Source organism: Homo sapiens, chromosome 5, assembly GCF_000001405.40.
Source record: "Homo sapiens chromosome 5, GRCh38.p14 Primary Assembly".
NCBI classification, from domain to species: Eukaryota; Metazoa; Chordata; class Mammalia; order Primates; family Hominidae; genus Homo; species Homo sapiens.
Window position 1 is genome coordinate 168,747,748 of NC_000005.10, and position 16,317 is coordinate 168,764,064.

General features: G+C 49.3%; 1 protein-coding gene across 3 annotated transcripts in view, besides 3 other annotated features; it reads right to left on the reverse strand.

Moving 5' to 3' along the window:
* The window catches only part of SLIT3 (slit guidance ligand 3), a 639,400-nt gene that overhangs the window by 86,008 nt on the left and 537,075 nt on the right, over positions 1-16,317 (reverse strand). For all 3 annotated transcript variants that reach the window (NM_003062.4, NM_001271946.2, XM_017009779.1), the window contains exons 15-20: positions 14,792-14,942; positions 13,115-13,189; positions 6,117-6,260; positions 5,208-5,351; positions 1,725-1,888; positions 555-687 (exon numbers count right to left, since the gene is read on the reverse strand). In NM_003062.4, the coding sequence (NP_003053.2) occupies positions 555-687; positions 1,725-1,888; positions 5,208-5,351; positions 6,117-6,260; positions 13,115-13,189; positions 14,792-14,942 (811 nt within the window). The remainder of the gene's footprint in view (positions 1-554; positions 688-1,724; positions 1,889-5,207; positions 5,352-6,116; positions 6,261-13,114; positions 13,190-14,791; positions 14,943-16,317) is intronic.
* Positions 5,659-6,160: an enhancer, noted in NCBI's record as "H3K4me1 hESC enhancer chr5:168180411-168180912 (GRCh37/hg19 assembly coordinates)". NCBI's record gives its function as "activates a minimal SCP1, AML or CMV promoter by ChIP-STARR-seq in naive H9 embryonic stem cells {active_cell/tissue: H9 hESC(naive)}" and the evidence as "EXISTENCE:reporter gene assay evidence [ECO:0000049][PMID:30033119]".
* Positions 6,161-6,660: an enhancer, noted in NCBI's record as "H3K4me1 hESC enhancer chr5:168180913-168181412 (GRCh37/hg19 assembly coordinates)". NCBI's record gives its function as "activates a minimal SCP1, AML or CMV promoter by ChIP-STARR-seq in naive H9 embryonic stem cells {active_cell/tissue: H9 hESC(naive)}" and the evidence as "EXISTENCE:reporter gene assay evidence [ECO:0000049][PMID:30033119]".
* Positions 7,496-8,323: an enhancer, noted in NCBI's record as "H3K4me1 hESC enhancer chr5:168182248-168183075 (GRCh37/hg19 assembly coordinates)". NCBI's record gives its function as "activates a minimal SCP1, AML or CMV promoter by ChIP-STARR-seq in naive and primed H9 embryonic stem cells {active_cell/tissue: H9 hESC(naive and primed)}" and the evidence as "EXISTENCE:reporter gene assay evidence [ECO:0000049][PMID:30033119]".

Sequence of the window (16,317 nt, forward strand, 5' to 3'; positions counted from 1 at the left end):
GTGGAATAAGAAAGCTCCTGTTCTGAGAATGAATGGGACTCAGAGCTAAGACCTCATCTGTAAAATGGGGCCGCATGCTTGACAGGGCTGTTTGAACGTGGAATAGGATCCTATTCAGAAAAGTGCTTTGTAAGCCACGGTGCCCGCTGGACAATGTTTTCACAATTATCCTGCACTGCTGCCGGGATCAGACTGAGAGACTGCTGAGGAGTCTTAGGAAGAGGGTGTACAGAGCAGAGGTTTCAGGGGTGATACGGAAAATGAGGCAATAACCCTCCCACTTATACTCAGGGTATCTTTAGGAATTACAGGGTCAGAGACTCCTCCTCTGCCAGGCAGAGGCACTGGGGGAGCCATGTTTCCTGTGCCCTTGTCAAAGCCCATGGCTGCCATCTTGGTGAGGGCTCCACTGCCATCTTGCTGGGATCCATTCAAGTAGGGTCTCCCCCCGGCAGTTTCGCCATGTTGCCTTGCTTGAGATTCTGGGGTAAAGTATGGAGGATGCTGCTGGTGGTGAGATGACAGGGTGCTTGGAGGCAGCTGGGGGTACTTACAGCTCGGTCACATCCTTGGGCATGCCTCTGGGGAGGGCGCGGAGCCCCTTGTTGCTGCATCGCACCACTGTCTCCATACAGGTGCACTGCTCCGGGCAGCGCGGGCTCAGCTGGCAGCTACTCTCCTCGTTGCCTGTGGAGAGCCCCAGAGAGGGTGAGGGTTGTGGGAGATAAGCCCCACTAGGGGGAGCCAGTGAGCAAGGCTGCGTGTTCTCCACAAAGACAAGTTGTCCCCTGTCCCCGCTGTGTTCTAGAACCAGGAAGAGGGTACCCGCTGGTCTCATCCGTGGTTGGCGGGTGTCGCCTACCTTTTACCTCATTTGACATAAGATGAAGACCATCAAGGAGGCTCAGCAAGAGTAACAGGAAAGAGGTCACCGTTAACCATATCAGGAATAAGCCGAATTGATTGAAGGAGTGGTCAGGGGGAGGGGGGCAGAGCCTTGTCTTTTCCCTTCCTCTTTCTCCTTTCTTTCTCTGCTCCCACAACTACACAGTCCCTCCGGGGTGTTGAGTATGTCCCAAGCCTCCATTGTGCCTTAATCTCAGTTAATTATCTGTCTCTAGATAACCCAAAGTTGATCAAGTAAAGAACTGTGCTGGCTTGAATTTATGCAAATAAATATGCCCTCTGGGATCCTGAGAACCAAAGCCTCAGATATCCATATCCCCAGCCAGTGACAAGACTTTTCTTGAAGTCTGTTTCTCATGAGTACATACTGAGTCTCATCATGATGCTGACAGGAAGACTGAGGCCAGGGCTCCCATGTACAGTTGTATAGGTTGTGCACTCCACAAGGGTGCCATATCATTTAAGGGGCACCAATCTCACTGTGGACATGATAGATGAGTATATTTGGTACAACAGTGTTCTCATAGATGGCAGTATCTTGTTTTAATGGACAGGTGTCTTGTCTTAATGAAATCAATATATTATGACAGATTTCTAACTGATGGAAGTAAAATGACTGCTGAAATGGGCACCTTTTCTTAATTTGCATGAAGGAGCCATGTGGGCTAGTAGCAGATCTGCAGAGCTCTCCAGAGCTCCAGCTGCATGCCCAAAGCAAAGTGGAATTGGATCTCAGGGAGTATCTGATTGTGCATCTTCGCCATCTTCCTTGCCTTCCCAGGGCCTTCCCCGCAGACCTTGACCCACAGCCTTCTTACCATCACAGGTGAAGTCCTGGATGGCCACATCCTGGATGGGAATCTCCTTGAGGAAAAATGGCTTCTGGCACCTAGGGTTCCCACTGACGATCCGCCTCTTCCTCAACCACTTGCCGAGCCAGGCCAGGTGGCAGTTGCAGTTGAAGGGGTTGGACAGGAGGTTTCTAGGAAGAGAGAAGGGTGCTTAGCCTCCATCCTTCTACTGTGGGAGCGGCCCTGGGATCTGCTGCCCAGAGCCCAGCTCTCCTAGCCAGGAAGGAGGAGGTCTCAGGAAGGAAACGTAGGCTCTTCCCCAGATGCAGTCTCTGTGAGGGTCTCATTCCAGACCCTCGCCTCTGATGGATGTGGCTGTGGTGTCTCGCCATGCCCTCCCTTGGGTACCAAGCCCTGGCTGTGTGAACTGCCTTTGGGTCCTTAGCAGAGATTCACCCCGAGAGCCTTCACACTTGCTACTCTCCTTGCTGGGAACCCGTATCTTTACAGGTTGCCTGGCTGGCTTCTTCTCATTCTTTAGTCCTTGGCTTCAATGACATTTCATCAAGGAAGCCTTCTCTGAGTCCCCCATATCAAGTGGGATACTTCAGCCCTATCATATCTTTTCCCTCATTCCCTTTCATTCTCCCCATAGCACCCATGGGAGTGTGCGGTGACTGGTTTCTGTGCTCGCCTTGCACCTTGGACTCTACATACACGAGGGTAGGGTCTGTTTGCCTCTGCATATCCAGAAACTAGCGTTATGTCATCACAGGCACTTTATATGCATCTGTGGACTGAAACAATGGGACTGATGGAGAGATGAGGGGATGATGGCAGCTATCCCTTCCTGAGTGTTTACTACAGGACTGGGACCATGCCACGCACTTTATAAATCCATTGTCTCATTCATTCCTGTCACAGCGACCCTATGAAGGAGGTAACATTATCTTCCTTTTCTCACATGAGGAAAGTGAAGCTTGGGGAGCTTATTTAAGCGGGACAGACAGCCCTTGAGTGGCTGTAGGATGATACAGCAATGAAGGGCTTGAGAGTGGCTGTTTCGGGGTTGGAGTCCAGGCTCTGACACTCAGTAGCTGTGTGAAGCGGGGCAAGTTACTTCATGGGTCAGAGCTGGTTCCCTGAATGCTTTGGGACTCTGCCCTTCTGGGCATCTTAGGTGTCTTTGGATTTCCAATGTGGAGGTACCTAGGAGGGGCTAAATATGGACTAAAATGGACCAGTTCACTGATGTTAGCTCCCAACCCATTGTCCTCTCCTGTTGACATCACTCGTTCATTCGATTCATTCCTTTACTCAACAATTATATGCCGGGCATCTGCTTGTGCTCTTGGCACAGATCTAAACATTAAGGATGCAGCAGTGAACAAAACAGCCACAAATCCCTGTCCTTCGGGATCTTATATGATGGTGGGCAGATAATATATGATTAACAGCAAGTTAGTGAATGACACAGTATGTTAGGACATGGTTAGTGCTTTGTAATATTAAGGGGCAGGGCTAGAGGGATTGGGGCTATGGCAGAGGGGTAGAACGGGGTGAGGCAGGTGACCCTTGAGCAAAGGTGGAAGGGAGAGAGGCTAGGGGGAGGGAGGCTGGGGGAGGGTGCTCCAGGGAGTGCCAAGTTCCAAGGTTGGAGTGGGCTTGGATCATGGGAAAATGGCGAGGAGCCCCACGGAGCTAGAATGGAGAGAGGGAGGGGACAGGCAGGGCATGAGGGGCCAGATGACGTGGGGCCGGCCTTTAGGCCCTCCTCTAACTTCGGCTTTGATTCCAAGTGCAGTAGGCATAGGGCAGCAACAGGAGGTGTGGCAGCAGCCTTTGCTTCTGCCTTCTAAAGGGTCTTTGGGGAAGGTTAGAGACGGGACAATAAACCAGCGACTAAGGATAACAGAGCCACATGGAAATACGACGAGCAGCTGTAAAACACACACGTGTTGAGCACTTTCTACACCTAGGCCCTTGCTGTGTGTTTTACAAGCATCACCACATTCAATCCTCATAACCATCCTAGGAGGTAGATTATGCAGAAGGGAAATGGAAACACACAGAGATGAAGTCACTTTCCCAAGGTCACACAGCTAACAAGAGGCACAGCCAGGATCTGAACCTAGGAAATTTGGCTCTAGAGTCTTACCCATTATTCCACAGAGGCTCCCTTCCCACGACAGCGCACTACCCGGGCAGGAGCACTCCTTTAGGTGCCCAGAAAGCTGGGTTCTAATTCTGGTCCTGATACCCACTGAAAGCAGCCAGTGACATCTTTTTTTTTTTTTTTTTGAGACGAAGTCTCGCTCTCGCTCTGTTGCCAGGCTGGAGTGGAGTGCAGTGGCACAATCTCGAGTCACTGCAACCTCCACCTCCCGGGTTCAAGCGATTCTCCTGCCTCAGCCTCCTGAGTAGCTGGGACCACAGGTGTGCACCACCACCACGCCCAGGCAATTTTTGCATTTTTAGTAGAGATGGGGTTTCACCACATTGGCCAGGAAGGTCTCAATCTCTTGACCTTGTGATCCACCTGCCTCGGCCTCCCAAAGTGCTGGGATTACAGGCGTGAGCCACCAAGCCTGGCTGCCAGTGACATCTTTTTAAAACCCCTGTCTGGTGATGTCTTACTTAAGGTCTACTTAAAGGTCCCAGTCTTCCTAATGTGCTCTGGACAAAGACGAGATGGCCCACAGCAGTCCTGCAGCCTGACCCTGGCTTCCTCTTCAGCCTTGCCTTATGTCATGCCCTCCCTCATTCAGCACTGTGACCATGCTGACAGATGTTCAGTCCCACATATATGCTCTGTTGCGACCAACCACAGGGCCCTTGGACATGCCCTTCCCTCTGAAGGAACTGCACTGTCCACTTTCTTCAACAGCTACCTCCCACTTACCTTCCAGAATACAGCTCCAGTGTTTCTCAACAAAGCCCCTGGTTTTTTTTTTTTTTTTTTTTTTTTGACACGGAATCTTGCTCTGTCGCCTAGGCTGGAATGCAGTGGCATGATCTCAGCTCACTGCAGCCTCCGCCTCCCGGGTTCCAGCAACTGTCCTGCCTCAGTCTCCCAGGTAGCTGGGATTACGGATACTCACCACCATAACTGGCTAACTTTTGAATTTTTAGTAGAGAAGGGGTTTCACCATGTTGGTCAGGCTGGTTTCGAATTCCTCACCTCAGGTGATCCACCCACCTCAGCCTCCCAAAGTGTTAGGATTACAGGCGTGAGCCACCATGCCTGGCCTTCCAGCTTGGGTTTTCAAATCACTGTGGACATGCTTTCTGTGGCAATTCACTATGCTGTGAGTTCCAGGAAGGAGGGGCCGGGTGTGTGCAGCCTCAACACCTAGACGATGCCTGCCTGGCACATACAGAAAGCCTGACGAGTTTTTAAGTGGACAGACAGATAGATGAGCCTGGCTAGAGGTAGCAGGGAGCTGGGAGGAGAGAGCGCTGCAGAGTGGGATCCCAGAGTCCGTGGGCAGTGGACCCAGGAGAACTTACATGGTGGACAGGGAGACAAGCGTGGTGAAGGCCCCAGGGGTGATGGTGGTGATCCGATTGTCATAGAGGGACAGCAGTCTCACCGAACTCAGGCCGGCAAAGGTGTCATTACTCACACAGCCGATCAAGTTACTCCTCAGCATCCTACAGGGAGAGGGGTGGGGATGAGAGAGCACAGGCATGATCTTTTCTGTCCCAAATGGTGCCACGGTGGTGTGTGTGTGTGTATAGGTGAGATGCTTTTGCCAATTCTAAGCTCAGTCCAGCCATGTTGATCAGGTTTGTCCTGTGATAGCAGGGACTGGAGCCCCACTGGGGCTGTGTGTAAATGTGTATGTACATTATTGTTTGTGCATGCTTTCTTGGAAGCACATGTCATGCATATGTGTGTATACACACGCATATTGTGTGGCTGCTAGGGTGTGCACACATATTTCTGGGAAGAGAAGAGAGAATCAAGACGTGGTTGTAGACATCAGCTTGTATGTATGTGTGTGCTTGTGTGTCTGTGCCTGTTTGTATATATGTTTATGTGCATGTTGCACGTGTCTGCATATATCATTTTTATAAAGGTCCTTATGCTTATGTTTGTGGGTAAATGTCTGTTTGTGTGCCTCCTTCAGCAAGTTTCTGGTATAAATCTATATACGTGTATACACGAGAGTGGGTGACTATGTTGGGTGTGTGTGTGGTGTGTGTGTGTGAGTGTGCATGCTGGAGGTGTTCAGCATGCTAAATTCTTTCCCATCCAAGGCTCCAGAATGTCTGATGACTCTGACTCCAGGAAGAGAGGGATTCAGCAGGCCAAGACAGTGCCTGGGTCCCACTTGCCTTCGTAGTCTGTCTCTAATTCCCCTGCCCTCCCGTCTCCCTCTGGGTCTTGGCCCAGGCCCCACCCCAGGCACTCACAAGGTTTTGAGGCCACTGAGGCCACGGAACACGCGCCCGTGCACGGTCTCCAGCTGGTTCCCTGTCAGCATCAGCTCCTGCACGCTGGCTGCTCCATCGAAAGCTCCCTCTCGCACCTCCTTGATCTTATTGTTACTCAGATTTCTAGAAGGAAGAAACAGAATAGGGGAGAATCAAAAGGAGCAGATGGTCTTGATGCCGGGAGGGGATGACTTGCCCTGCAGCTGCTGGGGACTCTCTGGGGCCCCTGAGACTGAGGACTGGATGGTGGAAGGAGCTCAGTCTGGGGCTCCCTGAACTTTGGTCTTCAGCATCTGGCCCAGGGAGCAGGGACCCTGGCCCTATACAGGTGAAGCTACCTTTGTGAAACAGACTGTATGGTCAGTGGATGAATGGATCAAGAAAATGTGGTGTATATATGCACAATGGAAGACTATTTGGCCATAAAAAGAATGAAAACCTGTCATTTGCAGCAACATGAATGGCACTGGAGGTCACTGTGTTAAGTGAAATGAGCCAGGCACAGCAAGGCAAATATCATACGCTCCTACTCATATGTGGGAGCTAAAAAAGTTGATCTCATGGAGGGAGACAGTAGAAGGATGGTTACCAGAGGCTGGGAAGGTTTGAGGGAGATGAAGAGAGGTTGGTTAATGGGGGAGCTAAAAGGAATAAGTTCTAGTGTTAGATAGGGTGACAGTCACAGTAGGGTGACTATAGTTAACAACAATATGTATTTCAAAATAGCTAGAAGAAAAGATTTGAAATACCTCCAACACAAAGAAATGATAGATGTTAGAAGTGACGGATATCCTAAATATCCTGTTTGATCACTGTACATTGCATGCATGTATCAAAATATCACGTGTCCCATAAATATGTATAATTGTTATGTATCAATTTAAAAAAACAGGCTGGATGGGATTTGAAGTTTTTTTCTGTGTAATTGTCTTTTCAATGCTCTGGGGGACTGACAGAGTTAAAATAGTGACTCTCAAACTTATTTTCTGTCTTCATTAGAGATTCTCACTAAGCACTGATTTTCAAGAGGAAGGCAGGAGAAAAATATAAAGCATGCTCCCCACTCCTTGGGACTAGGGCATTTGTGGAACTTCTAAGCTTTCTCACCAGTTAAGGATCCCTGATACAAATAAATTGGTGCTTTCCAGTTACTATTGTTGACCACTTCTTATGTGCTAGGCACCTCATGAGGGATCTGACCAACACAACCACATCAAACCCTCAAAACGATGGCTGTCGGACTCATTTATTATTATCGTCTCATTTTACGGATGATGGGACTGAGGTTCACAGAGATTAACTAACTTGCTTGCAGTCACCCAGCTGACAGAACTGGGATTTGAAGCCAGGTTTTCTGGCATATCAAATGTACTCCATTGAACCTCTTCTTTCATAAGTGAGTATTCCTTTGACTATGTGGATATTACTTCTTTACAAAATTCAAGATTTTGGATATTGTATTTGCTTAAAGTGAGCTTGGTCCTATCAAACCCTCAGTGCCGCCATTTCTTTCTTTCTTTCTTTCTTTCTTTCTTTCTTTCTTTCTTTCTTTCTTTCTTTCTTTTTGAGACAGAATTTCTCTCCTTGTTGCCCAGGCTAGAGAGCAATGGCGCAATCTTGGCTCACTGCAGCCTCTGCCCCCAGGGTTCAAGTGATTCTCCTGCCTCAGCCTCCCGAGTAGCTGGGATTACAGGTGCCTGCCACCATGCCCTGCTAATTTTTTGTATTTTTAGTAGAGATAGGGTTTCACCATGTTGGCCAGGCTGGTCTCCAACTCCAGACCTCAGGTGATTCACCCACCTTGGCCTCCCAAAGTGCCGGGATTACAGGCATGAGCCGCCATGCCTGGCTGGTGCTGCCATTTCTGAGTCTGCCCCTGAGGTCTGAAAGCAGCCCTTCCCTCCGAGGCTGCATGCTGACATCCTGCACAGACCTCAAGAGAGATCAGAACAGCAAGCAGATGCTGCAGAGCCATTAGCACTGCGAGTTAGCAGTTCTCCCTGGCAGGGTTGCTGGGGGGCTTGTGTGGACCATCAAAATGCCTGGCCCTGGAAAGCATCCCTGGCCAGATGGATGAACTGAAGGTGATGACAGTGTTTATATTAGCTCAGGGGAGAGTCCAGCCTCCCAAGCAGACAGCCTATTCAGAGCCTTGCATGGGGAACCATCTTCTGCAAACAAGGAAATCGCAGGTGGAGGTGGAGCCCGTGAACTCACAGAGCACACGAAAGCTGGCAGAATTGGCGGGCTCGCAGAGATAGACCAGGACCATTTTACTGCTGAAGATACTGAGTCCCAGAGCAGGAGGGCACTGCTCCAGGTCACAGAGCATTGGAAGGGGATCTAGGACCATACCAAGTCCCTGGTCTGAGCTCTGGGCTGACCCACAACAATGCCAGGGGGCGAGAACTCCCTTAGGGACTGACTTGGAGCAAGTGACAGAATTGGGGACTCAATGCAGGCTGACTGCCCTCTTCCCAAGGAGGGACCAGGCCCCCAGGGTGAGGCCATGCCTGCGCTTGTGGGCAGGTGTGGAGGAAACAGCCGGTGCCTTGGTTCCCTCCTTACTCCTTGGCATGACCTCGTTCTCCTTCTCTCCTTCCCATCCTGCCAGGAAAACAGGAGTAAGCATTCCCAGCATCCCTCGCCCAAGGTCTGAGACAGTCAGCAGACTCGCAGACTGGATTTCCACTCCCTGCCTGGTTCTCCTTAAACTTGGCCGGTTTTCTTATAAATCCTGGTAGCCCTGGTCTGGGATAACCCAGGAATGAAGGTAATGCCCTGAGGAGACTGCCAATTACCCCCAAATGAGATGCAGGAGGAGAGATAAAGGCTCTCCAGCAGCTATAAGTCACCCGAATGCCAGAAGAGAAGGCTTTTGCTCCAGAGTTGAGCTTCTTTGTTGGGGAGGGTGGGGATTAAAATACAAGTGATGGGCAATGCAGATGAGTTAAAGCAGCTATGAAGTGGGAGGGTTCCCATTTCCTGACATCTGTTTCTTTAAATGAGCAAAATTAACATCACATTACTGTAAGGTTTGTGAATTGGATTTCCTCAGGCTGGGAGAATGGAAAACAGAAGGAGAGTAAAAAAGAGGGGGATATAATTTTCCAGAAAAGCTGGCTGCTGCCGTCTCTACATCCATCAAAGCACTGCTCGCAACTACAGGCAGCAGTAGCTGAAGGACAGAAAGTGCAGCCTGGGGCAAACACTCCAGAAACAAAACAAGTGCATGGAGGTTTTGTAAGAGCCGATCACATTCTTAGAGCAGTATCTTGCCCCAGATCCCAGGAAACCACAAAATGTAAAACCAGGGCCACCCAGGGGGCTTCTCTCCATCTTTGGGTTAGTTCAGAGCCCCTGAGGGTTTCTTGGTGAGGGTTAAGTGCATTAATATCTGTACTGTCTAGCGCAGGGTAAAGTGTTTAATTTGTGCTCACTGCTAGCTATTATTATTTTTATGGCCTTGCACGCAGCCAAGTTCCACATTTGTGCTACTCCCAGGCTCCTGAAAGTGTCTGGGTGTGCAACCCCTATTTTTGTTGTTGTTATTGTTTTTGTTTTTTTGAGACGGAGTCTCACTCTGTCCCCCAAGCTAGAGTGCAGTGGTGGGATCTCGGCTCACTGGAAGCTCCGCCTCCCAGGTTCACGCCATTCTCCTGCTTCAGCCCCCCGAGTAGCTGGCACTACAGGCGCCTGCCATTGCGCCCGGCTAATTTTTTTTGTATTTTTAGTAGAGACGGGGTTTCACCGTGTTAGTCAGGATGGTCTCGATCTCTTGACCTTGTGATCCGCCTGGCTCAGCCTCCCAAAGTGCTGGGATTACAGGCGTGAGCCACCGTGCCCAACCCAACCCCTGTTTTAAATATATAACCAGCTACTCTGGGTCACTCAACTCAGATGCCCTCTCCTGTCTTTCCACACCCTGTCTCCCCAGTACCACAGCCATGTCTTTCATCTTTATTTCCTCATATTTCTGATCCACATCATAACTTATAAGGAAGGTGGATTTATTTCTATTATGTAAATGATGAAACTAAGGCTCAGAAAGGCTAAGGACATTCCTGGTGTCACATAACTGGGAAGGGCAGAGCTGAACTCAGAACTCACATAGGCTTGTCTGCCCATTTTCCTTCCACACCGGGAGTTGTGGCAGCTCTTGAGAAATGGAAACATTTGGCAGCCCTCACTTTTATTCCAACATGGCAAGCACTGGGATGAGCTGAGTGACATCTGTCCCTTTTGATGAGATCTAGGCCCATATTTTTCCAGAGACCTCACCACTCCCTTTTGTTGCTTGGTTGCTGATGCTGGGAGTTGGTTGACACTTATCATGTGTTTGTGCTGTTGTTTTCTGGGGCATACAGAAATATTCTCTACACTCATGTTCCTATCAAAACTGGGAGGATGAAAGATTCCAAGTGCTTGAGTTTCACCTCAAATGGGAGAGTACGTATTTCTTCGCAGAAGCAAAGACTAGCAGATCCTGTTCAGAAGACAAATATGCGCTTGGCCAGCTTGATTCATCTTAATATCTGCCTCACGCCCACAGGCCTGTAAGTTTCTGTCTTCAGGTTAAAAACAAAGTACATTTCTCTGGTTTGAAATAAAAAGAATAATTCCTGGTAGGTGATGGGTGATGTTTGTGTTGGGACCCTGAAGCTAGTGGGGCACTGGACCCCAGTGACAGCCATGATCCTCACCCAAGTGTGCCCTTCTCTCAGCTGGCCCCCCAACGTGCTCTCCACTGCACCCGGTTACACAGCATTCGCTGGAGCCATGACCAAGGTGGTGGCTGCAGGCAGGGACGGAGGGAGGAAAGCGATCTGAGTAGCACCAGTGAGATCCAGATGCTGCCCAGGGCCTAGAAGGCCTCTGTCATATTTGTCTACAGGGAACTGATGGGTGGGAGCATGGGTAATGAGAAAAAAACGAGGTGGTACAGTCCACTCTCATTATAAGTAAGCATCCCTAACCAGAATGTCCGAAACTTTCTGAGTGCTGATATGATGCCACAAGTAGAAAATTCCACACCTGACACCTTTGCTTTCTGAAGGTTCAATGTACTTGAACTTTGTTTCATGCATAAAATTATTAAAAATATCACATAGCTACCTTCAGGCTGTGTATATGGTGTACATGAAACACAAGTGAATTTCGTGTTTAGACTTGCATCCCAGCCTCATGACATCTCATTGTGTACATGTAAACATTCCAAAATCCAAAAAAATCTGGAATCTGAAACACTCCTGATCCCATGCATTTCAGATAAGGGATACTCAACCAGTACTCACAGTAGTTATGTTGTATACAGTTGCTGGGAACACTGCATTAGTGAATACCAAAGCATTGCTCTTAGGGAAATACAAGATTAGGGTCCTGCGAGCCTCTGGTCTCCACATTTTTATCAACCTATCGACGTATAACCTTGTTATATGTATGCTTCTGTTTAAAGATAGCTTATGTAATACATATGGCTGATCCATAATGTTGAACTCATGGCCAGCAGCACTATAACTCAAGCCTGTAATAAAACTGCTCTCACGCACATATGTCCTCTGTAAGACACATCACAGCCTTTGCACACTTAGGATGGCTAGACAGCCCTTCGGCAGTATGTCTGGGGGGCCATTTTAAACAGCAAAATCACCAACAAAAACCACAAACATGCAAAACCCACGGCACTGAATATAACGCAAAAGGACACTGGTTTACAGCATGAGAGGTGACAGAAGAAGGCAGAGCGTGGCCTCGCTCGACCCCAGCTGAGAACGTGGGTGTGGGTGACTCTGTTTTTGTTTTGGTTTTTGTTTTGTTGTTCTGTGCACACCCGAGAATGACTGTGAAGGCACGGAGAGTCTTGACTTTGGACTTACACAAATGTCAGTGAGTCGGCGAATTCTCAAATATGGAATCCATGAATCATGAGGATGGACTTTACTTCCCTGGTCTTCGAGGCACACCTGAACTCTGGGGCCAGGAGACATGAAGTAGGGGGTGGGGTAAGGCAGAGGGGCCAAAGAGTGCCCCCCTGGGGATTAGATGGTAAAGAGCCTCCTCTTCTGTGCTGGTACCTCTGCTGGGGGACCCCGCACGGAAGATGAGGAGAAGCAAGCCAGCCTCACACTAGCATGACTGCAGGTGGACCCAAGTCTGAATGCCAGCTCGGGGACCCATTAGCTGTGTGGTCTTAGAGAAGTCACAGAAACTTTTTGAGCCCTGGCTTCCTCACCTGCACAAAGGGGACTGTGAAGCCAGCACTGGATGGGTGGGTGAAGACTCAGTGAGACAATGGGTGTGACGCAGGGAGCATGGTCCTTAGCTCAGGACAAGGACTCTACTGGTGCACCAACATCATTCTCATTACCTTTATGACTAGGTCTGAGCTCCTGTGCAGGGAGAGGGTTAGGATGATCTGCATCTCTGGCAGTGGAGAAGCCAACATAGGCAAGTGGGCCCTTGCCTAGGCCAAGGCATGGTCAGACCCACGGACTCCTGGAGGAAACCCACTGTGGGAAGCTGCTGGCATGTTCATTCTGATGTGTATCACTGATGCAGGGGTCTTTTGATTCCATTTGAAAACAGACATTTAACTGTCACCACACAAAAATTGCCAAATAGCATATACCTTAGATACCCGTGCCCCATTGCTAGTCCTTACCTGAGTCCCACCCACCAGCCCTGGGGTAGGTGTTGGATGGCGTGTAGGGGTGGGGTGAGCAGAGGGTCCAGGGAGGGGTCAGGGATGGTGTGGAATGCTCGCTCTGTATAACACTCAACTGAAACCATGAAGCATCACTTTGGTCTGTGTCTACATGTCTTGCTTCCTAACAGAGGCCACAGCGGGGCTGAGGAGAAGGCTGGGAGGGAGTGGAGCAGAGGCTGGGGGAGAGGCCGGTCCCCTGGTTCCTCTAGTCTAGAACACAGGCTCTGGCTAGAGAACAGAGGCTGCTGCCAAGTTCCTGAAGTTGACTTACATTTTCCGCAGGTTGGGCAACTTCTTGAAGATGCCAGTGGCCTCCAGAACAGATACCTCATTGTCATTCAGTCGCCTGTGTAGGAAGCAAGATGAGTGGTAGGTTAGCTGTGGACGAGGCCCCTCCTTCCACCCCCCATGGCTTTGCTGCATTGCTGCCTGAACCTCACACTCGGTGAAGGACCACAGAGCCATCGGAAGCTTTGACATCAGTCCCATCAACAGAGGGGCCCAGCAGTTTGGGGAGGCATATGCAGTGCTGCTTCCTCCTTCTCCTGGAGGAAGCCTCCTTCGGCTGGGGTTTAGGGGACTTTCTGAGTATTCCGCGTGGGCATGCGTTGTTTTCAGCACCCATCAATTACCAAGGATCTGTTTTCATTTTGTGGACATACCAATGACAACTTAAAACCCCCAGGAAGGTTTCTCCAGGGTCTCCCAACCCTCCAAGCCCTTCAGCTCCTTCCTAAGCACTTCCCTCTACCAGGAGCAGCTCGGGAACTTCACAGGTATTCAGGGAGAGCAGCAGGGCAGGGAAAGGGGCCTGCTGTTTCCTCTGATGACTTGTGAAATTAGAGAGGACAACAATAATAATAATAATGAAGACCACTACCACTCATCCAGGGCTTACTCTGTGCCAGGATTCAAGATGAGTTCCATGCTTGCATCATCTTTCTTAGTCTCCCCAACCACTGTAGGAGGTAGGCATTAATTATCTCCCCCATTTGACAGCTAAGAAACTGAGTCTCAGATCCAAGGAGCAAATGGCCTAATCTTAGGAAGCCTGCCAGAGTCAGGTGTCAGCCCCATGTCTGTCGGTCCCCACATGCTGTGCCTTTGTCCTCCACGAGGCTATAACTTTTCAAAAATTTTTTAATTAAAAAAAATTTTTTTTTCCAGATACCGGGTCTCACTCTGTGGCCCAGGCTGGAGTGCAGTGGTATGATCATAGCTCACTGCAGCCTTGAATTCCTAGACTCATGTGATTCTCCTGCCTTAGCCTCTCCGGTAGCTGAGACCACAGGTGCATGCCACTATCATGCCCAGCTAATAAAAAAAAAAAATTTTTTTTTTTTTTTTGTAGAGACTGGGGTAAGGGAGTGGGGTCTCACTATGTTGCCCAGGATAGTACTGAACTCCTGGCCTCAAGTGATCCTCTCCCCCTGGCCTCCCAAAGTGCTGGGATTACAGGCATGACCCACCAACCATGGCCCAGCTATAATTTTTTAGCTCTTTTTTTTTTGATAAACCAACACATCCCTTTATTAACATGGCTAATTGGAGGCTCAGATATATTTAATCATTCTAGTTGTTTTCTCACTTCACTACCATTCTTCATTTAGCACCCAACTTTCTGGTTTTACTGTAAGCTCCGTAAGGGTTGGCAGGGACTACCTGCTCTGCTCTGTTGTAGAAACTGGTGGGCCTAGCATGATGCCGGCTCACAGTAGGTGTTCAGAAAATATGTGTAGAATGAAGGAATGAACTGTCTTTATTTGCAAGCAAGCTGTCCACAGGAGATGCCTGGGTATCTACCTTCAGACCAGTATGTGAAAGACAGCCAACAAACACCACATGACTGAGCCAGGAAGGGGTCACCGCCAGGAGACCCTGCCCACGCTGGCTCCGGGTGACTGGCGTGTGGGGAGGAGTAGGGAGTTCACGCCGAGGTTGGACTTACAGGTCGGTGACATATTCAGGGAGGTGGCTTGGGATGCGGACCAGCTTCTGGTTGGAGCAGTCCACAATCGTGCCCTCACAGCGACACTTCTCGGGGCACACGAGGTCCATGAAGCACTCGCTGCTGAACCTGCTGCGGTAATCCTCGGAGCCTGGGAGGGGCCAAAGAGGGGACGTCAGCGTCACCCGAGTTCCACGCACAGCCCCAGGTTGTGGGTAGTGGGGGTGGGAGACAGAGATGGGGGAATGAGTTGGGGGCTGTTAGGGGTCAAGTAACAGACACGGCATCGCCTTTGCTATATGGCCACCTTGCTGGTGCCTTCCCTGTCCCCAGCCTTACTGCCTCCTTCCCATGGATCTTTGTTATTCATCACCATCCTCAGGAAGACCAGACTCAAGATCTGTGGGCCCTTATGCTTTTGGGGGTCACAGACGTTTTTGAGAAGCTGATGAAAGTTATGAATGTTCTCCTCGGGGAAGTGCTCCTTGGTGCAGGTGTACAGTCTACGATTTTAGGGGGTCTACCTGCTTCACAACTCCTATCATTCATGGACCCTCTAAATGTTCATGAAAATCCAAATGACAAGATTTTGATGATGCTTTGACGGGGGCTATGCCAGGGGTAGGGGTAAATTATGGGAAGGGGTTGCAAACTTAGGGGCCTTTATTACCCCAGCAGGTAATAAAACGAGTACAGGCCAAGTACATGGCAATAAATGACCATCGACGCCTGGCTGTAAGATTGGGAAGACAACGAGGGTTGGGAACCTGGGGAATTGGAGCCCCAGCCTTAATGCTTGGAAATTTGGCTCAGGGTTGCCTGATGTTGCTTTTTTGTTGTTTTTTAAAAAGAGAATCCATATAAACAATATTGGTAATAAATTCCAATTTAAAATGCCGCGAGGACGAGCAAATTGTATCTGAGGGTCAGATTTGGCCTCTGTTTTTCAGAGCACATTCTACATAACTATAGTGAAAGGCACGTTCTGATGAGCTAAAAGTTGGAGCTGAGATTTGCTTTTTTGAAAAGCAAATCTCCCGAAGTTGCACAGTAATGGTAATGGGACCAACAACGTGGTGTCTCTGAGAAATGCCTCGGCGAGTTGCCTCAATGATCACAAATGATCCCTGGGCACTGGGGCAAACCTCTGTGAGACCTTGAATCATGCTGGTTGGAACTGAAGGAGCTCTGGTTCTCCCATCAGACATAAGCTTATTGATGGGGCCAGGTTTTCTTCATCCTTTCACACTCAACATTTCACTAGCACAATGCGAGACACAAAACAAGAGATGGGTCCACATTTGTCCAATGCACGAGTGGGGTGTCATGAGCACCTGAGTGTCCTGTACATGAGTATTGGGAAGTGTTTCAGAGAATGTGAACATTATTTGTTTGCTCCACTAGGTGAGGCAACTTGGTGATCTTATTTGCATTTAGGAGCATTAGCTTTTCATGGGTTTTAGCAGAAGGGAGCACAGGCTCGTTCAGGCCTTGGCAACTTACTAGTCTCAGTCTCTCTCCATGTA